Below are 24,208 nucleotides of genomic sequence, written 5' to 3' on the forward strand. Positions count from 1 at the left end.
GCGAGGGGAGGGCGCCCCCGAGACAGACGTGGAGGGAGGGCGAGGGCCAGGCGCTGGGCTTCATCACTGCGTTTCCGTTTTCTGTGAAATCAAATGGCGCCTTTCCCTTTCCCGGGAAGTCGGTGTCACCGCCCGTTTGCTGTGAAATCAAATGGCGCCCTTCCTTTTCCCGGGACTTCGGCGTCACCGTCCAGCTGGCGTCGGGGCAGCACCCCGGGATCTGGCGTGGCGCATGCGCCCCGACGCTCGGGCCCGCGGGCTCCTTTCTCCGTCGCCGCTCCAGGACGCGGCCTCGGGGGAGCCCTACCGGGACGGAGCCGCGGGGCCTGCGACTTCCCCCGGAGCTGGCCTGAGGTGGGGCCCGGGGAGGCCTACGGGCCTGGGGGTCGCGGAGCCCAGGGAGGGCTGTGGCAGGGCCAGGGGGGCGCGCCCCGGAGGAAAGGCCCGCTTTGGCCCGAGGACGACACGGGAGTGGGTAGCCGGGCCTGTTGAAGCGCCTAGGGCGCCAAGGATCCCAGTTTGTTGGGTGACTCGGCTCAGCTTTTAGAAAGGGGCCGAGCGGGATTTGAACACTCCCTGAGCCCAAAGGCCTGGCTCTCAACGGTAACCGTCTTCCTCAGCCTCAGTTTACCTTTTCATCCCTCAGGGATTCTCCTGTCCATGGCTGCCACCAAAACTGCGAGTTATGATGAACATTTCAGGCCAGAAAAGTTAAGAGAATGGCCGGAGCCCGAGTCCGTTTCTTTAATGGAGGTGAGATAACGTGGCGTTTTGAGACGTCATTTTGGCGGGGGGACCCCTCGAGTTTGGGAACTGTTTATCTTAATTTCGCTTCTGTTCTCAGGATTGTGACAGTGCCTGCTTTAAAGCAGGCGTTGAAGGGGAATGTTCGGGCTCAGATTTGGCCGAGAGTGTGGCCAAGAGTGTTTCCAGTCGCCAGCCTGGGGGCTGGCGCACCGACGGGGGCGGGCAGCCGGGCGGGTGAAGGCAGCCACCCCAGCTCCCCGGCAGAAGCCAGGTCTGGGCTTGCCAGTCAATTCTGCATACTTCAGCGTCTGGTAATGATTTTCTCAAAAAGTTTCATTATTTTGTGTCATCCTATGATTTGCCTCGCTGTGAAAAACTCTTGGAAATTTCCTTTCTTTTTCCCCTTTTGCCCTAGTGGCGGTCGGAGCAGTGAGATGCTTAATTTTTCTATGTGTGTGCACAGAAAGCTGTGGATTTCGAAAAGTGCTGCTGCAAATCATGACCTTTTCCTTATATTTCCTGGCAAAATCACAAAGAAGAGCCATCAAAGACAAAAACTGTTTAATTTCTTTAAACAAAGATTATTTGAGAATCTGACTCAAGAATGTACATAACATTTGTTAACAATCTTACTAGGATGTTCTTTAAGAAGGTGACTTCCCAAGATGCTTGTCAATATGTTCTGCTTCTCCAAATAAATAAATAGATTCTAAATTTTTATTGTAGTGTCAGGATACATGTTTAATTGTTTTACATACTTTTTCAGTTGCCATCTTCATTTTAATTAAAAAAAATATTTTAGAGACAGGTTCTTGCTCTGTAGCCCAGGCTGGGGTGCAGTGGCCCAATCATAGCTCTCTGTAACCTCAGACTCCTGGGCTCAAGTAATTCTCCTGCCTGGGCCTTCAGAGCACTAGGATTACAGGCGTGAGCCACCCTGCCTGGCCTGTCTTCTTAAAATAAGTCTGAGAAGGCTTTAAAGCAAGATCCTGTTCCTATTACAAAGAGAGCTTTATTTTAGGAAGACCTGGGCAGCTGTTTGAATATCATTTTAGATCTCATGTGAAGCTATTAAATATGTGGGTAAAAAGAACAACTTTCCTTTTTTGAGATTTCTCTTATTCACAGATTTGGTATTTGAGTTTGGGGTTTAGTTTGTTGTGATGCATTCAGTGTGGCAGAATAGAAAGAAGAATCAGAAATTGAATAACAGTTCTAAGAACCTGTATCATTTTTCATCAGCAATAATTTTTAATGTAACAATTTATCTCTTCCAGATACTGGATTTTCATTGCCTTTTCATTTGTTCACACTTAGTCCTATAAGAATAAAAGCTAGAGATTAGTGCATAGTGATCCAACTGAAAAAGCCCTAAAGTGGGGATTAAAATGCATCAGCTTTACCCAAACTCATAATGGAAATAGCAAGTCCCTAGATGTGGATGATGTTGTTTGGAGGCCATGAGCTCTCACTAATTAGCTCTGAGATTCTGGACCAGTTGAACTAAAGGGAACTTTCTGTGGTTTTTGACTTATGAAGAGATCTAGCAAAAGGCGGGAAACTTCAAGGGCCCTTTAAGACACACCTACTAGCTGGGTGGGGTGGCTCACGCCTATAATCTCAGCACTTTGGGAGGCCAAGGTGGGTGGATCACTTGAGGTCAGGAGTTCGAGAGCAGCCTGGCCAACATGGTGAAACTCTGTCTCTACTAAAAACACAGAAATTAGCCAGCTGTGGTGTCATGTGCCTGTAATCCCAGCTACTTGGGAGGCTGAGGCAGGAGAATCACTTGAACCTGGAGGGCGGAGGTTACAGTGAGCCAGGATTATACCACTGCCCTGCAGCCTGGGTGACAGCCAGACTTTGTCTCAAAAAGCAAGCAAACAAAAAACACCTACTGAATGCCTGAAAAGAGGATTCCTTTAGTAAGCTTTTTAGTGCTTTAAAACGTAATTTAATAATATGCTATCAGGGATTTTTTTTAAATAGTCTGGGTGGGGGGGTGCTGAAAAATGAGTAGGGATTTATTGGATGAAATAAGATTGACTTGGAATTAATCACTCGAGCCTGGCTGACAAGTTCACAGAGAATGGGTTTAGAAATTTTCCATATTTTTATGTTACCAAATAAGCCTCAAGATTTACACTAAAACTATTGGTAAAGTACACTGAGTTTTGTCATTGTAGTTTGTTTCTTCAGGATTCACATCTTAATATTCAATTCTGTAATTTTAGGTATTAGCTAGAGAAGACATTGATGAAGCAGTATGTGCAATATTATTTAAAGAAAATTCCATTGTGAAGGTAAGAGTTGGCTCCACGCTGCATTCTACATATGTTCTAGGGGAGCAAGAGTGTGCAGAACAACATGGCCAAGAGTTTATGTCACCGTGATCCAAGAGACTCATTTTGCAGGAGTAATGAGGATCCTCTAATTTACTTGTTTGTACTACATGCATCTGAGGCCATGCCCCCTTCTTGCAGGATCACTAAAAGGTCCCTGATCCCACTTGGATCTGTCCTGAAGGGATCTGAGAAGTTGTTCCAATTGCTCCTTCTCTTCGTCCTGGTACCGAATAGAAATTCTTTCCTACTCACACTTGCCTCTTTCTCATATGTTCCCACATTGCAGTAAAACCACTAGAAACAAAATAAGCTTTTAAGGGTTATGACCAATCAGTAACTGATAGTCACTACGAAATTAGCTTAAGGGGCATTTAATTTCAATGAGAGAGACGGAGTTATAATAATACTTTGGGAGGCTGAAGCAAGAGTATTGCTTGAAACCAGGAGTTTGAGAGTTTGAGACCAGCCTGGGCAACATAGTGAGGCCCTGTCACTACAAAAAAATTAAAAAATTAGCCAGACATGGTGGCACACGCCTGTAGTCCCAGCTACTCAGGAGGCTGAGGCAGGAGGATTGCTTGAGCTCAGGAGGTTGGGGCTGTAGTGAACTGTGATCATGCCACTATACTCCAGCCTGGGTGACAGAGTGAGACCCTGTCTTTTAAACAAAAAAGAATAAAACTTTGACATTTGAATTGTGATTTACAATGTGTAAAGAAAGTGCACATAAATTCCCATTTAAGCATCCAAAGAGGTAGATGGGATTACCTCTCTTTCACAGGCCAGAGAGAGGTGTCAAAGTCTAGTGCGCTTTCTACTCTACCAGTTTTGTCCCAGACTTTCCTGATGGTGAAGGCTAGACACAGAGTGGGTGACCAGGGAATGCTTGGAAATCCTGAAAAAGAAACAAGAGTTTCATGAGTTAGGAATAGCTTAATCTGATTCATGAGTTAGATGTGGTTAAATCTGAAGGCACAGTTATGGTTTAGAAGTTTATATGAGTTCTTCTGCTCTGTGTTCCCAGCTTCTCTTACTGCACTTTATTCTGTGCTTCAGTTATCTTATACTGGGACTTTGCAACCCGAATGTGGCTGAGAGCTTAGTAGAGAGAACAAATTTTTTTTTCCCCCTTACTCGAATGATAGTAAATGAAACATTTCTTTATAATTTATTTTCCTTTTTTGTATCACTTCACTAGAGATTGGATATGTATTTTCAGCATGTGGATACTTTTAAGGAAAGAAGAAAAGAGATGTTACATAAAAAATGGGTTGAAAATGTTGCAGAGCCTCTTCAGCAGAGAATTATGGAAAAAGTAATTTCATATAAAGAGCTTAAAATGAAACGAGAATGTTGAATATTATTTACAGCACAGACATAAAATGGTACTGATGTTTTATTTTTCAAATAGAGTATAATTTGAAGAGTTGGTCTAACAATTTCACTGGTTATACAAATAGTTTCCAGCTTATTTTTATATTTAAGATGAGTTCATTGAATTGTAACACACGTATTGCATTCTTAAGCCTGAGGTTGGAGGGGATAGGAGTGTTGATTTGGAACTAGATTTATCAGGAATGATTTTTATGTAGACGTTAATGGAGTTACTGTGGCTTAAACCATAAGGGCATTTACTTCACAAGAAATTAAGAGGTAGGTGGTCTCGTGGTGGGTTCTGACAGCATAACAATGTCAGGTTTTTTCCTATTCTGTTCTGCTATCCTTAGTATTTTCAGTTTATCCCCATCATTCTCACATTTGCCTGATGGTTGCTTATAGCTCCAGACATTAGGTCTTCATTCAGGGCAGGAGGAAGGGGTAAGGAATGGTGCCAGGGGCCTCTTCTCTTACCCTACTCCTTTGCAGGAAGCAAAAAGAGTCCCCAGAGGCCCCTAGCCAACTTTCCCTTAGGTCTCATTGGCCAGGACTGGGTCATGAAGCAAGTCCTAGCCATAAGCAGGGCCTGGAAAGCCACTGTGGCTTTCTCATCTCTCTAGTAGGAAGTGGGCAGAGGAGAATGGTATTGCATGGCTGACTTAGCCAACCAGTAGGTATTAGGACTAACAGTTTCTATACTCTGTTCTACAGTTTGGCTTTACAAAAATTTGGTTTCTTAATTTAGAGATTTTTTTTTATTTTGAGGTCAGCTCTCAGAATTTGGGTCTCTCTATTTGCAGTATCAAATACAAATCTGTTAGCTTTAGGTGTGCACTACTGGATCTTTCTTACCCCCACATATCTAGTAGATATCTAGAGTAGTGGCTGGGTGCAGTGGGTCACCCCTGTAATCCCAGCACTTTGGGAGGCTGAGGTGGATGGATTGCTTGAGTCCAGGAGTTCAAGACCAGCCTGGGCAACATGGCAAAAACCCGTCTGTACAAAAAAAAAAAAAGCCCAGGTGTGGTTCTGTGCACTTGTAGTCCCAGCTACTTGGGAGGTTGAGGTGGGAGGATCACTTGAGCCTGGGAGGCGGAGGTTGCAGTGAGCCATGATCGTGTCACTGCAGTCCATCCTGAGTGACAGTGAGACCCTAGAGTAGGTTAGCTGAAATATTAGAACATTTAAGTATATTTACTGAGCACAATTTCTGAATATTTACCTTAAATACTTTTTCCTACACACTCTTAAGGGGCAGAGCTCAAGATTGAATCCAGATCTCCAAAGTGCAAAGTCTTATATTTGTGTCCAGAAATGTGATTTCATGGGTATAGGGAGGAAGATCTTAGAAATGGCATGTGTTGAAGTCCAAGTAATTTTAAATGTCAGTAAAGTCGTTGTGAATCAACCATATGAGCTGGATTCCAAGAAAACATACATCTCTCAGGCAAGAGAGGCTGTGCTTAGAGTGGGAAGCATCAGAGTCTTGGTCTATCCTGTCCTTAACCTGTCATTCCTGATGTCACACTGTTGAAGGGACCCTCATCAGTTGCAAAACCTTTAGAAAAGAGTTGAGTCTTGACACCACTTTATAGGAAGAAAACTGGAAAGAGGTGGGGTATTTGGCCCAAGGAAATGACACGAGGGGGAATGAACCTTTTAAGTATTTTAAAGGCCGACATTAGCCGATGAATTAGATGTGTAGAACTAGTGTCTGTACCTGCAAGTTACAAGGCAGATTTAAACTCAACCTAAGGACGGACTTTCTTGAGGTTAAAATTACCAAAAAAAGTACCTGCCTCATGGAGCAGAAAGTTCTGAAAGGCCCATGGATGACTTTAGACTAAAGCTAGATGATTACTTCTCCCAGAAGGTGGTGGAGTCTCATTGCAGTCCAAACTACTTCAGCAGTTTCTTCCAACCCTTTGAAGCTATGCTTTTATATAAAAATGAAATGCAGTATTTGGCTTTTATAATATGAATCTTGCAAAACAGTTTGTATCTAGTGATTTTTCCCTTAAGTATATTTTATATCTGAAGGAAATTATATGTGAAGACCATTATAATCCTGAAGTATACAATCCCTTTTTAAATTTTTTTAAATTTTTCTTTGAGACAGAGTTTCGCTCTTGTTGCCCAAGCTGGAGTACAATGGTGTGATCTTGGCTTACTGCAACTTCTGCCTCCGGGGTTCAAGCAGTTCTCCTGCCTTAGCCTGCCAGGTAGCTGGGATTACAGGCATGTGCCACCATGCCTGGCTAATTGTTTGTATTTTTAGTAGAGATGGGGTTTCGCCATGTTGGTCAGGCTGGTCTTGAGCTCCTGACCTCAGGTGATTTACCTGCCTTGGCTTCCCAAAGTGCTGGGATCACAGGTGTGAGCCACTGTGCCCGGCCTACGATCCTTTTATATGAAGAAAAAGAAACCAAATTATGGAAAGGTAGAGCAGGTTTCTTTGGTTTTTTATTCTTAGGAGCTCTGGAGTGGGGGAAAACCTAGTCATTTTAGAAGTCTTGTAGTTATTGTCTATTTATTAAAAAAAAATCTACAAAAGCATTTCCTTTGAGTTTTAGAATAGGAACTCAAAGTAATTTAGACTCCTGTGGAATTTACACTGTGCACAAGGCATGGATACGTGTGATCATTTGTTCATTCATTTACTCACATTCAGCAAACTTGAAGCACAAGAAGGAGAGAGAGAGGTGTGGACAGCTTGTGCAGTGGAGCGTGGCGAGTGTCACAGAAGTCAGCACAGGGATTATGGGACGTGGGAGGGAACACTCCTTTCTACTGGAGATACAGGAAGGATGTCAGCACAGGCTGCCCGGGAGAGCTAATACTTGAGGTTATAATGAGTCTTCAGATTTTTAAACTGCCAATACAGGAGTTAAAATGGAGAAATGTAGGTTTCAGTTTTTCGCTCCCATGCAGCAGAAGTAGCCACCTGATATGACTGTTAATTTTTTAAAAAATATGTATGGCTCTGAAGATGGAAGTGGTTTCTTTTGCTTCTCCCAGAAAACCAAGCCAGGTCAGTCATATGAAGATGAACAGATTCTTCTGGTTCTGGGTAGAATGTCAGCATCTGGGGTGCTGGAGGCAGTACATATTATGTTGCCTAGTTTATTCAGTAATTGTTTACCTAGCACTTCAGTCCAGCACTGGGATGAGTGCTGTGGGGGAAATGGAGGGGAAAAATAGTCCCTCTGTCTAAGGCTTATCAGGAGCGGGAAGAAAAAATACTTCTGTATGTCCCTACCCTTTGACACAAACTCATAGCTCTGGTCACCTGACCCTCTGTTCTCACAGGCCCTTACGGACCAGTTGTCAGCTTCCCTAGGAGGCATGCGTCCTCCCAGGCTAAGTTAGCACTGCCCCTGCTCCTACAGGATCCTGAGAGGGCCCCTCTCAGGACTGGATTGTCACTGGATGACTAGGCTGTCTAGACCAGGAGATCCTTGAAGACAGGATCTAGCCTGGATGTGGCACACAATGGCAACACAAATATTTACTGGCTGATGCAATGACACAGTAGAGCGCTTAACAGAAGTGCGTCTCTTCTATCTGGGCGGCCCTCCCTCCCTCAGTTCAGCCATTTAAGGCTCTGTACGACATCCTCATCTGAGGTGTAGATTGGCACATTCTGGGGCCTTTCTTCTCAGCTGCTTTGGTATACAGTAAGGGCATACTTGAATGTTTAGGTCAGATTTTATTTATTTAAATTTCAACTTTTAGATTCGGGGGTACACATACAGGTTTGTTACACGGGTATATTGGGGTACGAGGTTGGGGTGCTGAGGTTGGGGTGCAATTGAATCTGTCACCCTGGTAGTAAGCAGAGTCCCGAATAGGTCGTTTTTCAACCCTCGCCCCCTCCTGCCCTTCCCACTCTTGTAGTCCTCAGGGTCTATTGTTCCCATCTTTATGTGGGACACATTTTAAAAGCTTAATACAGACTGCACTCTGGTACTCAAAGAGTCTCATTTCTCTTGTAGGTTACAGTCCCACCATTTGTTGATCCTCTGTTTCAAAGACAGCAAGAGGTGGATGAAGAGAGGAGAACTGGTCTTCAGTGTGAGACAGGTGCTTTGTGATCACTGGGCCTCATTTTTTTGAGACTGCTAATTGTCCAGTGATTTCTCACTCCTTCAAGAGCAACTGGAGTTCTTGAAGAGTGTTGATTTCGATTTTTTATCTTCCTGTAGGAAAACGACATTCCATAAAAGAACTTGAAGAAATAGAGAAGGCCAGGCTGCATGCCAGCTCGCCCTACTTCACTTTCACTTCACACTGTGTGATTCCAAAAGAGTGGCATAAAGCCTCTGCAAGAGCCAGGAGTAAAACTTACAAATACAGGTACAGATGAGCAGAACAAACAAATATTTGTTTAACTTGCAACTTACTTTATTTCCTACTGAAGCTCTTGTAACTAGTCACACTTTTGTCTTTTAGTAGTTTATAGTTTTATTATTATTATCATCACCTTTGTATTATGAAATATATGTAGAGGACAGAATAAAACATAAACAGCTTACCGAGTCCCTGAGTCAGTCCTGTGGAATCACCAGCCATTTCAAGAAAGGGAGCCTGCCCCCTCCCGAGACAGTCTTCTCCCTGCCCCAGAGCTCCCTTCACTTTATAAGTGTTCACCTCCTTGCTCTCCCTGTGGTGTTATCAACTAACTTTGTATCCTTAAACAATATAGTTTATCTTGCGTATTTTTGAATTTCATATAAACAGAACCTGAAAGCATTTATTCTTTTATGACTGACTCTTTAAAAAACATCTTTATTAAGATATAGTTTACAGGCCGGGCACGGTGGCTCACACCTGTAATCCCAGCACTTTGGGAGGCCGAGGCAGGTGGACCACCTGAGGTCAGGAGTTTGAGACTAGCCTGGCCAACATGGTGAAACTCCATCTCTACTAAAAATACAAAAATTAGCTGGGCATCATGGCAGATGCCTATAATCCCAGCTACTCGGGAGACTGAGGCAGGAGAATCGCTTGAACTCGGGAAGCAGAAGTTGCAGTGAGTCGAGATCATGCCACTGCACTCCAGCCTGGGCAACAGAGTGAGACACTGTCAAAAAAAAAAAAAAAAAGATACAGCTTACATACCATAAAATTCATCTGTTGAGGGTTTGTACATGTACAGTTCATTGTGTGACTGCTTTTGCTCACCATTATGTTTTTCAGATTCCTTTCTGTTGTTGCATATAGCTCCAGTGTATTAACTTCTGTTTTCTGATTATATTCCATTATATTTGACTATGCCATCATTTAAGCAATCCACTGTTGTGGACATTTGGGTTGTTTCCATATTTTGGCTATTATGAACAATCCAGTTTGGTATTTTCGTTTCCACAATCCACATTTGTTATTTATTTATTTATTTATTTTTGAGTCTGAGTCTCGCTCTGTCGTCCAGGCTGGAATGCAGTGGTGCAATCTCTTAATTTTGATATAGTCAAATATTTATAACTAGTGCTTTTTATACATTATTTTAAGATGTCTTTTCCAAAAGCTGTATGGCCTTTTTTTTTTTTTTTGAGATGGAGTCTCATTCTATCGTCAGGCTGGAGTACAGTGGCACAATCTTGGCTCACTGCAACCTCTGCCTCCCGGGTTCAAGTGATTCTCCTGCCTCAGCCTCCTGAGTAGCTGGGACTACAGGTGTGCGCCACCACACCCAGCTGATTTTTGTATCTTTAGTAGAGATGGCGTTTCACCATGTTGGCCAGGATGGTCTTGATCTCTTGACCTCAGGTGATCCACCTGCCTTGGCCTCCCAAAGTGCTGGGATTACAGGTGTGAGCCACCGTGCCTGGCCTGCTTTTATAGTTTTGCTTTTCAAATTTAGGCTTATAATACAGTTAGAATTGCTTTTTGTATGTATTTTATGTGGGGCCCAATTGAATTTTTTCCCTTTAATGATACCCATTTTCCTCAGTACCATTTATTGAAAATATCATTTCCCTGCTGTTCTGCAGTGTAGACTTTTATACAAATTCACTGCTGTTATGTATACTTAATTTCCAGGTTCTCTATCCTAGCCTATTTGTTTACTATAGCTTTTTAATGAGTTTTGATACCTGATAGAACAAATACACCAATATATTTTATAATTAGCTCAAGTTTCATGTAGACATACACACATACAAACAAATAAAAAAGTAATGGCAAAAACCACAATTACTTTTACACCAACCTAATACTTGGGATTTTGATTGGGATTGCATTGAATCTGTAGATCAATTTGGGGAGAATTGACATCTTTACAATTTTGAGTCCTCTAATCCATGAACATGGTATATATCTCTCCATTAGTGTGGGTCTTATTTTATGTAAAGGAGTGGTTCTTAATCAAATTGATTAAGAAGCTGGCAATGTTTGGAGACATTTCTGGTTGTCAGGGGCATGGGGTTCTACAGGCATCTACTGGACATAGGGCAGGGATGCAGCCAAATATCCTACAACAAAGAATTACTCAGCCCCAAATGTCAGTAAGTACTATGGATAAGAAACTGTCTAAAGGTCTTGTAGATCTTTGTTTAGATTTATTCTTACTTATTCCTATTTTATTATTATATATAATTTCATTTTCTAGGTAATTGTAATGTATAGAAATAAAAACGATTTCATATGTTGAATTTGTATTTGGCAACCTTGCTAAACTTTATTATGAATTCTGACATTTCATCTATAGAGTCTTTTGGATTTTCTATGTACACAATATTCTTTTTATTTTTTTGAGATGGAGTCTCGCTCTGTCACCCAGGCTGGAGTGCAGTGGCATAATCTTGGCTCACTACAACCTCCGCCTCAACCTCCTGAGTAGCTGGGATTACAGGTGTGCACCACCACACCCGGCTAATTTTTGTATTTTTAGTAGAGATGAGGTTTCACCATGTTGGCCAGGCTGGTCTCGAACTCCTGACCTCAGGTGATCCACCTGCCTCGGCCTCCCAAAGTACTGGGATTACAGGTGTGAGCCACTCTGCCCAGCCCACAATATTATCTTCTAATAAAGAGAATTTTATTTCTTGTTTTCCATTCCTTATACCTTTTATTTCTTTTCCTTACCTTACAGTACCAGTTAAGATCTCTGGCACAAAGTTGAAGTGGTGAAAATTGGCTTCATTGTATTCTTCTTAAACTCAAAGGGAAAGCTTTTGGTGTTTTTTGTGTTTTACATTATTTTTAGATTTCCATTAGTAAGTTAAGGAAGTTCATTTTCTTAGTTTGCTATCAGTTTTTTTTAGATAATAGATTTTGACATATATTAATTTTTATGCATTTATTGATATTTAATTTTTTCTCCTTTGTTAATGTGGACATTTTTATTTTATTTTATTTTATTTTTTGAGACATAGTCTTGCTCTGTTACCCAGGCTGGAGTGCAATGGCATGATCTTGGCTCACTGCACCCTCTGCCTCTCAAGTTCAAGTGATTCTCCTGCCTCAGCCTCCTGAGTAGCTGGGATTATAGGCGCCCACCACCACACCTGGCTAATTTTTATATTTTTAGTAGAGAAGGGGTTTCACGTTGGTCAGGCTGGTCTCAAACTCCTGACCTCAAGTGATCCGCTCACCTTGGCTTCCCAGAGTACTGGGGGATTTACAGATGTGAGCCTCTGTGCCCCGCCTGTGGAAAATTACACTGACTCATTTTTAAAATATTTTATTACAAACATTTTCAAATGCACTGAATGTAGAGAGTGCAACACATTCCTATGTACCTATCACCCAGGTTCAGCAGCCATCAACATTTTGCCTTTCTCTCTCTCTCTCACTTTACCCCACTTTCCCTTTTGTGCTCACAGTTTTGTGGGAAAATTCTAGGTCTCATGTCATGTCATTTATACTCTACCATGTACCTCACAACAAATAAACAACAGAAATATTGTTTACAGTTTTCATAAATGTGCATCTGCTCATGAAAAATCTGTTTGCTTTAAGACATCTTTATTTCCCTCCTTTTTTCAACTTAACTTTATTTTTCGTAACAAATTTTATGTTCACAGCAGACGTGAGTGGAAAGTACCTAGAGAGTTCTCGTACACCTCCTGTCCCCCAACAAACACAACCTCCTCCACTGTTGACATCCTGCACCACAGTGGTACAAACTACATTGACATTATCACCCAAAGTTCATAGTTTACATTAGGGTTCACTCTTGATGTTGTACATTCTATGCGTTTTGACAAATGTACAATGACATGTATCCATCATTCTGTTCCAGTGTCACACAGAATAGTTTCACTGTCCTAAAAATTGTCTCTGCCCATTCATCTCTCTTCCCCACTAACCCCTAGCAACCAGTGATTTTTTTTTTAGCTGTATCCATTGTTTTGCCTTTTACAGAATGTCATATGGTTGGAATCATACAACATTTAGCCTTTTCGGACTTCACCTTCATTCTTAAAGGATGTTTTCAGGATTAAGAATGTTAGGTTGGCAGTTATTTTCTTTCAACATATATCTTGTTGTCTTTTACTCTTTCAATTGAGAAGTCACTTGCTAGTCTTACTGTTGTTCCTTTGAAGGTAATCTGTCTTTTCCCCTGGATGCTTTTATGATTTTCTCATTGTCTTTGATTTTTTGTAGTTTTATGTGATGTTTCTAGATGTGGATTTCTTTTTATTTATCCTACTTGGAATTCATGGGTCTTCTTGAATCTGTAGGTTGTCTTTAGTTAGTTCTAGGAAGTTTTCAGTTATTTTCTCTTTGTTCCCTCTGCCATATTCTCCTCTCCTCTCTTTTGGGTACTCCAGTTAAACATATTTTAGATTTTCTCACTGATCCCCTGTCTCTGATCATTTTTGTATATTTTCTATCCTTTTTGTCTTTCCATGTTTGGTTCCAGATATTTTATTATCTCTTCTGTTGTGTCTGTTTGTTGTTAAACCCATCCTTTGAATTATTATTTTCAGTTATAGATCTAGAATTTCTATTTGATTTTTTTAATTTTTATTTTTAGAGCTGGCATACATGTGCAGATTGTGCAGGTTTGTTACACAGGTAAATGTTTGCCTAGGTGATCAACCCATCATCTAAGTATTAAGCCCAGCATGCATTAGCTATTTTTCCTAATGCTCTCCCTTCCCCCTCCCCACCCCTCCTTGATTCTTTTTCAAATAGGTTTTGGGAAATGCTGTCTGTACTCGGGGCCTGGAGAGTTTCTGTCCTCCATTGAGAAACCAAGCACATTGCTTGACTTGCCTCTTAGCGGGAGGGTGATGTTGAGAACAAGGTTAAATACCCACCTGTCAGGACATCAACCAGACCCAAAGACAAAAATCCACCAAAGATGCTAGAAGCACAGAGAAATCAGTCTCTACCTTGGTACTTAATATTGGTGACCTGGTACTTGAAATGCTCCCACAGAGGAAGGTAAGAGTTGGAGATTGTCAACTCATTCCTGAAGGCTCTCGCCTCTCTGGAATTCTTTTTAAAGCTGTCCAGTGATTTTAAAATTCTTAATTTTGGTAGTAAATTTTCTGCTTTTTCTTCTCTATTTATTTCAGCAGGACTTTTAGCCTGTGCAGACTTCTATATTCTACACAAACAGGAGGTCTGTTATACACTCTCAATATTTTGTTTTCATTCCCCATCCTGAGTTTTGTTGGAATAAACAGTGCTACTTTGTTTATGCTTACCCTAGTGATTTGGAAGTTTTATGTATTATTTCTGGTTTTATGGTTCCTTTATCATTTTAACAAACATTTTTATTTAAACACCAGTAATTACATAGCCCCCCCACCCCCACAACAAGACAAAGGCTTCATGTTGCTTTGTTGGCGTCATCTCCCCTCTGGCTCCTCCGCTGGTATTCTTCCTTCAGGCTGGTCTCCTCCAATCCATTTTTCGCCCAGCAGCCAGAGTGGTCTTTTTAAAGTGATCAGCACTCCTCCACTGGAAACCCTTCAGTGCCATTCCCCTTATGACAAAGCCCAGGCCCTCAACATGGCACATGAGGCACCATCTGGGCCCTACCACCCTTTCCGGCCTCATCACAGAAGTCCCATCAACTTAAATAAAAGGAAGATTGATTAACCATGAAAACCTCTGGGTCAAGTCAGCACATTCTTAACTCCCTGACCTGCCAGGCTGTTGCCTGCCTTTGCTCCCTCTGTCTGTCACTGGCCATTCCAGTGCAGGCAAGAGGGCAGTTATCACAGGGACACAGAACTCTCCAGCCCCTTACTGGCCCTTTCCTCCATCAGCAAGCCCCTTGAGGGCAGGGACTGCATCTTACTATCTTGGTGGTCCCAGCACTTAGCTGGAGCATAGTAGATCATGAATAAGTGGTTGTTGAATGAATTAATGGAGGAAGAAAAGAGAAGGCTTATTTCCCTCAATAGGGCTAGGCTTCCTGGGGCAGAAATGGTGGCAGCCCTGGTGAAATTCCTCCGGGAGGACACACCCAGAGGATGCCTCGTGTGGCTATTTGATGAAGTAAGAAAAGGACTTGAGAGCACGTGGCGAGGTGAGGCAGAGACAGTTTGATGACAAAAGCCAGAATCCTTCTCAAAGGAAAGGCGGGAGGGGGCTCGATATGTTAGAGAGCATTGGTATGTCATGGAAGCCAAGCCAGGAAGGGAGCCAGGCTGCTCGGGGGACGGACTGGGAGGCTGGAGCCAGGCGCTCGGGGGACTGACTGGGAGGCTGGTCCCTGCCTCTTTGGGGCTATGTGGCACTCACCATTACTTCTCTTCGTGAACCTGCTCTGTTTCTCTTTCTTTGCACATGGGCTTTCTGTGCTTTCCTGTGAGTGCTGGCAAGTGGAGGCGCCGTTCTGCCTGACTTTCTGGTTTGAGCACTCAGAGGCTGCCTGGAAGCCCCTTTGTCCCAACTACAGCCATAGGGATTGAAGCTCTGGACCTGGTGCCTCAGCCATGGCTGGGGAAGGGTCCCCAAGTCACCACCTCCCTAGGAATTGGGCCAGCAGAGGTACGGACAGGGCAGGCAGATTGAGGGACAGCCACCAGTGATGGCTGGTCAGTCGTTCCTTCTCAAAAGTGACGATTGAGTTCATTGCATTAATCTTCGGAAACTATTTGATGGTACAATTCCATCTGTGCTGAATCGAGACAATTTTTTCTGCTTTTCTTCACAGTCCTGAAAAGCTCATCTATGCAGACAAGAAACAGAAAAGAAAAGAGAAAAAGACGGCCGACCTAAGTCAGGCTGCGTTTGAAAGGCAGTTCCTTTCCTCAAAGCTCAGCCAGAAGAACAAAGTGGGTGAAAGAAAGGGTCTGGTGAGCAGAGGCCTGGGGCGGGGCTGGCATGCAGGGCTTTGCAGCACCCACGAGCAGCACATACTGGTTCCAGAATGAGCCACCGCCACAGCCCTCCCTGTCAGACAGGCACCCAAGGGCGGAGGAGGCATGGCCCAAGAAGAAGGGTGTGAAGAGGAGGAGGGAGAAATGGCGGTGGCCTCAGGCTCAGCACTGCAGCTCTGACAGGGCCCCTCGGGCGGGGAAGCCTTGCATGAAGAAACTCAGACAAGTGGTAAATGTGGGACCTGGACCCCACTTTCCGGAGACATCCTGTCCTTCCGAGGTGAGGGCCAACCTGGCCACAGGGGCTTTTCCCCCTGAGATTTCTTCAGCGCCTTCGCCCGGGCCTTTGCCCTTCTGCCACTTTCCTACCATTTTCCACTTACTCCATCCAAACTGCACCAAAGATGGTGTTCTCCTTAGTCCACACACAACTGGTGGGAAGTTTTTGAAATGAAATTTATACCAAAAAATTAGGGCAAGATGAGATTTTTTGATATTTAAAAGGTATTTTTATATGTAGGAATTTTCTGAGTATGGATTTCTTATCCAGAGCTCATGGTTCATTTGACACAGTTTTCAGCTCCTGGTCTATTTCCCCTTCCATTCTCTCCGCCACGCCCTGTGCCCTGAGGCCTGAGGCGCAGGACCCTCCCAGGGAAGGCCTAGGGGGCTTGGTGGGCCACCGCTCAGCTCAGGACCTGACAGCGTCACTCCCACCCTCACCACCACACACACAGGATGGGGGACTGCTGCTGCTTTCCAGCCTGTGAGCCTGGATAGGTATTTTGTGACCCAGCTCCTGCTCAGTCCCATCGCTGTCCCCGGTCTCTCCAGGGAGTAAGGGATTCTCCGTCTGTGGTAAGTTACCTGTGACTCTTCAGCAGTTTCCTCTGAGCATAATTATATCTGAGAGCACAGGGAGCTCCTCATTCCATGTATTTTTCAAATATTCAAGATGTACAACGTGATGATTTGCTATAGGTATTCATTGTGAAATGTTTGCCACAGTCAAGCTTGTTGACATACCCACCAGCTCACATTTACTGTTTTCGTGTGTGTGGTGAGAATACTCACAATCTACTCTCTGAGCAAACTGCAAATATATGTTATTAGTAACTGTAGTATCTGTGTTGTCCATTAGGCCTCTAGAACCTACTGTTACTCATGGAGGGTCTTCACTATGAGTTGTTCAGGTCCTTGGCATTTTGAACAAAGAATTGACCAAAACACACAGAGTAGCAGAGGAATGAAACGCGGGAGCGAAGCAGCGAAAGCAGAGATTTATTCAAGACAGAAAGCTCTGCAGGGTGGGAGCAGACCCAGCAAGGGCTCAAGGGTGTTAAGTTCCCTGTTTGAGGTTCTTATCTGCTACCCCTTATCTGGATGAAGGATTTGGTCCCTGGCTAATTAAAGGCTGAGGTGAATTGGCGCTCTACGCAGATGAAGGGATGGTCCCTGTGTTGGCTGCAGCTAATCCAGGGCACTCTCCCTTTCCATCTAAGACGTTATAGGGAGAGTAGCCTTTGATCTTTTGCTGCTTGGCTTGGGGAGATGGGGTTTTCTGTTTGGTTCCGCTTTCAGAAGTGTGTGTTAATTGGCCTCAGGTTCCCTGCCCCCAGACCCAGGTGTTTTCCTTTTGACCCAGCTTTGGGAAGGCAGCTCGAATTGGCCTTGGATTTCCTGCGCCCAGACCTTGCTGTTTTCTCAGACCTTGCTGTTGTCCCTGTCTCCAGACCCTGTTCTCCTGCCTCAGTACTTACCACAGAAAGTTTGTACCCTTTGACCAACACCTGTCACCTCACTGCCCCCACGCCCTGACTCTGGTATCCACCCTTCTACTCTGGATGGGTTTGACATCTTTAGATACCACATATTGTTACAGGAAAGGGGTCCTGATCCAGACCTCAAGAGAGGTTTGTTGGATCTCAAGCAAGAAAGAATTCACGGCCAGTCCACAGTGCAAAGTGAAAGCAAGTTTATTGAGAAAGTAAAGGAATAAAAGAACGACGACTCCATAGAGCAGCCCTGAGGGCTGCTGGTTGCCCATTTTGTGGTTATTTCTTGATGATATGCTAAATAAGGGGTGGATTATTCTTGCCTCCCCTTTTAGACCATATAGGATAACTTTCTGACCTTGCCATGGCATCTATAAACTGTCATGGCGCTGGTGGGAGTGTAGCAGTGAGGGTGACGAGAGGTCATTGTCGTCGCCATCTTGGTTTTGGTGGGTTTTGGCTGGCTCTTTTTTATTAGCCTGTTTTATCAGCAAGGTCTTTATGACCTGTATTTTGTGCTGACCTCCTATCTCATCCTGTGAGTTAGAATGCCTCACCGTCTGGGAATGCAACCCAGTAGGCTTTAGCCTTATTTTACCCAGCTCCTATTTAAGATGGAGTTGCCCTGGTTCACACACCTCTGACAATATGAGATCAGGCAGTATTTGTCTTTCTGTGCCTGGCTTCTTTCACTTACCATAACATCCTCCACATTCACCTATGTTGTTGCAAATGACAGGACTTCCTTCTCTTCTCAGGCGGGTTATTGGTCCATGGTATGTGTACCATATGCATTTTCTTTACCAGTTCATGTCAGCAGACACTTAGGTTGTTCCCATTTCTTGGCTATTGTGAATAATGCTGCAGTGAACACGGGAGTGTAGATATCCCTTCAAGATGGTGATTTTATTTCCTTTGAATATATGTATATACACCTGGAAGTGGGATTGCTGAATTGTATGGTCATTCTATTTTTAGTTTTTTTTGGAAACCTCCATGCTGTTTTCCGTAATGGCTGTAGTGATCTACATTCCACCAACAGTGTACAAGGGTACTGTTATTTTTTTTTTTAATTTTATTATTATTATACTTTAAGTTTTAGGGTACATGTGCACAATGTGCAGGTTTGTTACATATGTATACATGTGCCATGTTGGTGTGCTGTACCCATTAACTCGTCATTTAGCATTAGGTATATCTGCTAATGCTATCCCTCCCCCGCTCCCCCAACCCCACAACAGTCTCCGGAGTGTGATGTTCCCCTTCCTGTGTCCATGTGTTCTCACTGTTCAATTCCCACCTATGAGTGAGAACATGCAGCGTTTGGTTTTTTGTCCTTGCGATAGTTTGCTGAGAATGATGGTTTCCAGTTTCATCCATGTCCCTACAAAGGACATGAACTCATCATTTTTTATGGCTGCATAGTATTCCATGGTGTATATGTGCCACATTTTCTTAATCCAGTCTATCGTTGTTGGACATTTAGGTTGGTTCCAAGTCTTTGCTATTGTGAATAGTGCTGCTATAAACATATGTGTGCATGTGTCTTTATAGCAGCATGATTTATAATCCTTTGGGTATATACCCAGTAATGGGATGGCTGGGTCAAATGGTATTTCTAGTTCTAGATCCCTGAGGAATCACCACACTGACTTCCACAATGGTTGAACTAGTTTACAGTCCCACCAACAGTGTAAAAGTGTTCCTATTTCTCCACATCCTCTCCAGCACCTGTTGTTTCCTGACTTTTTAATGATCGCCATTCTAACTGGTGTGAGATGGTATCTCATTGTGGTTTTGATTTGCATTTCTCTGATGGCCAGTGATGATGAGCATTTTTTCATGTGATTTTTGGCTGCATAAATGTCTTCTTTTGAGAAGTGTCTGTTCATGTCGTTCACCCACTTTTTGATGGGGTTGTTTGTTTTTTTCTTGTAAATTTGTTTGAGTTCATTGTAGATTCTGGATATTAGCCCTTTGTCAGATGAGTAGGTTGCAAAAATTTTCTCGCATTCTGTAGGTTGCCTGTTCACTCTGATGGTACTTTCTTTTGCTGTGCAGAAGCTCTTTAGTTTAATTAGATCCCATTTGTCAATTTTGGCTTTTGTTGCCATTGCTTTTGGTAATTGAAGTCCTTGCCCATGCCTATGTCCTGAATGGTAATGCCTAGGTTTTCTTCTAGGATTTTTATGGTTTTAGGTCTAACATGTAAGTCTTTAATCCATCTTGAATTAATTTTTGTATGAGGTGTAAGGAAGGGATCCAGTTTCAGCTTTCTACATATGGCTAGCCAGTTTTCCCAGCACCATTTATTAAATAGGGAATCCTTTCCCCATTGCTTGTTTTTCTCAGGTTTGTCAAAGATCAGATGGTTGTAGATATGCGGCATTATTTCTGAGGGCTCTTTTCTGTTCCATTGATCTATATCTCTGTTTTGGTACCAGTACCATGCTGTTTTGGTTACTGTAGCCTTGTAGTATAGTTTGAAGTCAGGTAGTGTGATGCCTCCAGCTTTGTTCTTTTGGCTTAGGATTGACTTGGTGATGTGGGCTCTTTTTTGGTTCCATATGAACTTTAAAGTAGTTTTTTCCAATCTGTGAAGAAAGTCATTGGTAGCTTGATGGGGATGGCATTGAATCTATAAATTACCTTGGGCAGTATGGCCATTTTCACGATATTGATTCTTCCTACCCATGAGCATGGAATGTTCTTCCATTTGTTTGTATCTGTTCATTGAGCAGTGGTTTGTAGTTCTCCTTGAAGAGGTCCTTCACATCCCTTGTAAGTTGGATTCCTAGGTATTTTATTCTCTTTGAAGCAATTGTGAATGGGAGTTCACTCATGATTTGGCTCTCTGTTTGTCTGTTATTGGTGTATAAGAATGCTTGTGATTTTTGTACATTGATTTTGTATCCTGAGACTTTGCTGAAGTTCCTTATCAGTTTAAGGAGGTTTTGGGCTGAGACAATGGGGTTTTCTAGAGGTACAATCATGTCATCTGCAAACAGGGACAATTTGACTTCCTCTTTTCCTAATTGAATACCCTTTATTTCCTTCTCCTGCCTCATTGCCCTGGCCAGAACTTCCAACACTATGTTGAATAGGAGTGGTGAGAGAGGGCATCCCTGTCTTGTACCAGTTTTCAAAGGGAATGCTTCCAGTTTTTGCCCATTCAGTATGATATTGGCTGTGAGTGTGTCATAGATAGCTCTTATTATTTTGAGATAGGTCCTATCAATACCTAATTTATTGAGAGTTTTTAGCATGAAGGTTGTTGAATTTTGTCAAAGGCCTTTTCTGCATGTATTGAGATAATCATGTGGTTTTTGTCTTTGGTTCTGTTTATATGCTGGATTACATTCATTGATTTGCATATGTTGAACCAGCCTTGCATCCCAGGGATGAAGCCCAGTTGATCATGGTGGATAAGCTTTTTGTTGTGCTGCTGGATTCAGTTTGCCAGTATTTTATTGAGGATTTTTGCATCAATGTTCATCAAGGATATTGGTCTAAAATTCTCTTTTTTGGTTGTGTCTCTGTCAGGCTTTGGTATCAGGATGATGCTGGCCTCATAAAATGAGTTAGGGAGGATTCTCTCTTTTTCTATTGATTGGAATAGTTTCAGAAGGAATGGTACCAGCTCCTCCTTGTACCTCTGGTAGAATTCGGCTGTGAATTCATCTGGACCTGGACTTTTTTTGGTTGGTAAGCAATTGATTATTGCCACAATTTCAGAGCCTGTTATTGGTCTATTCATAGATTCAACTTCTTCCTGGTTTAGTCTTGGGAGGGTGTATGTGTCCAGGAATTTATCCATTTCTTCTAGATTTTCTAGTTTATTTGCGTAGAGGTGTTTGTAGTATTCTCTGATGGTAGTTTGTATTTCTGTGGGATCGGTGGTGATACCCCCTTTATCATTTTTTATTGCGTCTATTTGATTCTTCTCTCTTTTCTTCTTTATTAGTCTTGCTAGCGGTCTATCAATTTTGTTGATCTTTTCAAAAAACCAGCTCCTGGATTCATTGATTTTTTTGAAGGGTTTTTTGTGTTTCTATTTCCTTCATTTCTGCTCTGATTTTAGTTATTTCTTGCCTTCTGCTAGCTTTTGAATGTGTTTGCTCTTGCTTTCCTAGTTCTTTTAATTGTGACGTTAGGGTGTCAATTTTGGATCTTTCCTGCTTTCTCTTGTGGGCATTTAGTGCTATAAATTTCCCTCTACACACTGCTTTGAATGTGTCCCAGAGATTCTGGTATGTTGTGTCTTTGTTTTTGTTGGTTTCAAAGAACATCTTTATTTCTGCCTTCATTTCGTTATATACCCAGTAGTCATTCAGGAGCAGGTTGTTCAGTTTCCATGTAGTTGAGCGGTTTTGAGTGAGTTTCTTAATCCTGAGTTCTAGTTTGATTGCACTGTGGTCTGAGAGACAGTTTGTTATAATTTCTGTTCTTTTACGTTTGCTGAGGAGTGTTTTACTTCCAAGTATGTGGTCAATTTTGGAATAGGTGTGGTGTGGTGCTGAAAAAAATGTATATTCTGTTGATTTGGGGTAGAGAGTTCTGTAGATGTCTGTTAGATCTGCTTGGTGCAGAGCTGAGTTCAATTCCTGGGTATCCTTGTTAACTTTCTGTCTCATTGATCTGTCTAATGTTGACAATGGGGTGTTAAAGTCTCCCATTGTTATTGTGTGGGAGTGTAAGTCTCTTTGTAGGTCACTAAGGACTTGCTTTATGAATCTAGGTGCTCCTGTATTGGGTGCGTATATATTTAGGATAGTTAGCTCTTCTTGTTGAATTGATCCCTTTACCATTATATAATGGCCTTCTTTGTCTCTTTTGATCTTTCTTGGTTGAAAGTCTGTTTTATCAGAGACTAGGATTGCAACCCCTGCCTTTTTTTGTTTTCCATTTGCTTGGTAGATCTTCCTCCATCCCTTTATTTTGAGCCTATGTGTGTCTCTGCATGTGAGATGGGTTTCCTGAATACAGCACACTGATGGGTCTTGACTCCTTATCCAATTTGTCAGTCTGTGTCTTTTAATTGGAGCATTTAGCCCATTTACATTTAAAGTTAATATTGTTATGTGTGAATTTGGTCCTGTCATTATGATGTTAGCTGGTGATTTTGCTCGTTAGTTGATGCAGTTTCTTCCTAGCCTTGATGGTCTTTACATTTTGGTATGTTTTTGCAGTGGCTGGTACCAGTTGTTCCTTTCCATGTTTGGTGCTTCCTTCAGGAGCTCTTTTAGGCCAGGCCTGGTTGGTGACAAAATCTGTCAGCATTTGCTTGTCTGTAAAGTATTTTATTTCTCCTTCACTTATGAAGCTTAGTTTGGCTGGATATGAAATTCCGGGTTGAAAATTCTTTTCTTTAAGAATGTTGAATATCGGCCCCCACTCTCTTCTGGCTGGTAGAGTTTCTGCCGAGAGATCAGCTGTTAGTCTGATGAGCTTCCCTTTGTGGGTAACCCGACTTTTCTCTCTGGCTGCCCTTAACATTTTTTCCTTCATTTCAACTTTGGTGAATCCGACAATTATGTGTCTTGGAGTTGCTCTTCTCGAGGACTATCTTTGTGGCATTCTCTGTATCTCCTGAATCTGAATGTTGGCCTGCCTTGCTAGATTGGGGAAGTTCTCCTGGATAATATCCTGCAGAGTGTTTTCCAACTTGGTGCCATTCTTCCCGTCACTTTCAGGTACACCAATCAGACGTAGATTTGGTCTTTTCACATAGTCCCATATTTCTTGGAGGCTTTGTTCGTTTCTTTTTATTCTTTTTTCTCTAAACTTCCCTTCTCACTTCATTTCATTCATTTCGTCTTCCATCACTGATACCCTTTCTTCCAGTTGATCGCATCGGCTCCTGAGGCTTCTGCATTCTTCACGTAGTTCTTGAGCCTTGGCTTTCAGCTCCATCAGCTCCTTTAAGGACTTCTCTGCATTGGATATTCTAGGTAGCCATTCGTCTAATTTTTTTTCAAAGTTTTTAACTTCTTTGCCATTGGTTTGAATTTCCTCCTGTAGCTCAGAGTAGTTTGATCGTCTGAAGCCTTCTTCTCTCAACTCGTCAAAGTCATTCTCCGTCCAGCTTTGTTCTGTTGCTGGTGAGGAACTGCGTTCCTTTGGAGGAGGAGAGGTGCTCTGCTTTTTAGAGTTTCCAGTTTTTCTGCTCTATTTTTTCCCCATCTTTGTGGTTTTTGTCTACTTTTGGTCTTTGATGATGGTGACGTACAGATGGGTTTTTGGTGTGGATGTCCTTTCTGTTTGTTAGTTTTCCTTCTAACAGACAAGCATCGTGTTATATATAAAGTTTCGGTGCCACAAAAGAAATACCACTCGAATATTAAGATTTTCTTTTTAATTCTCAGCAAGGCAAGGTACTTCTAATTATTGTTGTTGACTAACTAAAATTGGTAATGGCTATCTAAATTTACTGTCCCCATTGTACTCTTTGAGACGGAGTCTCACTCTGTCACCCAGGCTGGAGTGCAGTGACTGATCTCGGCTCACTGCAAGCTCTGCCTCCCAGGTTCACACCATTCTCCTGCCTCAGCCTCCCAAGTAGCTGGGACTACAGGTGCCTGCCACCACGCCCGGCTAATTTTTTTTATTTTTAGTAGAGGCGGGGTTTCACTGTGTTAGCCAGGATGGTCTCAATCTCCTGACCTCATGATCCGCC

At 42.6% G+C, this 24,208-nt stretch overlaps 1 protein-coding gene across 1 annotated transcript; it reads left to right on the plus strand.

Annotated features, from left to right (window-relative positions):
- Window positions 1-232: 232 nt before the first annotated feature.
- Window positions 233-16,878, plus strand: FAM228A (family with sequence similarity 228 member A). The gene is made up of 6 exons (NM_001040710.3): window positions 233-354; window positions 647-753; window positions 2,982-3,050; window positions 8,465-8,552; window positions 8,675-8,825; window positions 15,592-16,878. Exons 2-6 carry the CDS (start codon window positions 661-663, stop codon window positions 15,809-15,811), a joined length of 621 nt encoding a protein of 206 aa, NP_001035800.1. The 5' UTR covers window positions 233-354; window positions 647-660; the 3' UTR covers window positions 15,812-16,878.
- The last annotated feature ends 7,330 nt before the right edge of the window (window positions 16,879-24,208 follow it).

Source organism: Homo sapiens, chromosome 2 (genome assembly GCF_000001405.40).
Source record: "Homo sapiens chromosome 2, GRCh38.p14 Primary Assembly".
NCBI classification, from domain to species: domain Eukaryota; kingdom Metazoa; phylum Chordata; class Mammalia; order Primates; family Hominidae; genus Homo; species Homo sapiens.

What these genes read in the sequence shown, in the direction of transcription:
- FAM228A (NM_001040710.3), top strand. Translation starts at nt 661, where the DNA reads ATGGCTGCCACCAAAACTGCGAGTTATGATGAACATTTCAGGCCAGAA. An exon ending in TGGTCTTCAGTGTGAGACAG is followed by an intron (nt 8,553 to 8,674) that starts GTGCTTTGTGAT and finishes ATCTTCCTGTAG; the next exon opens with GAAAACGACATTCCATAAAA. An exon ending in AGTAAAACTTACAAATACAG is followed by an intron (nt 8,826 to 15,591) that starts GTACAGATGAGC and finishes TTTTCTTCACAG; the next exon opens with TCCTGAAAAGCTCATCTATG.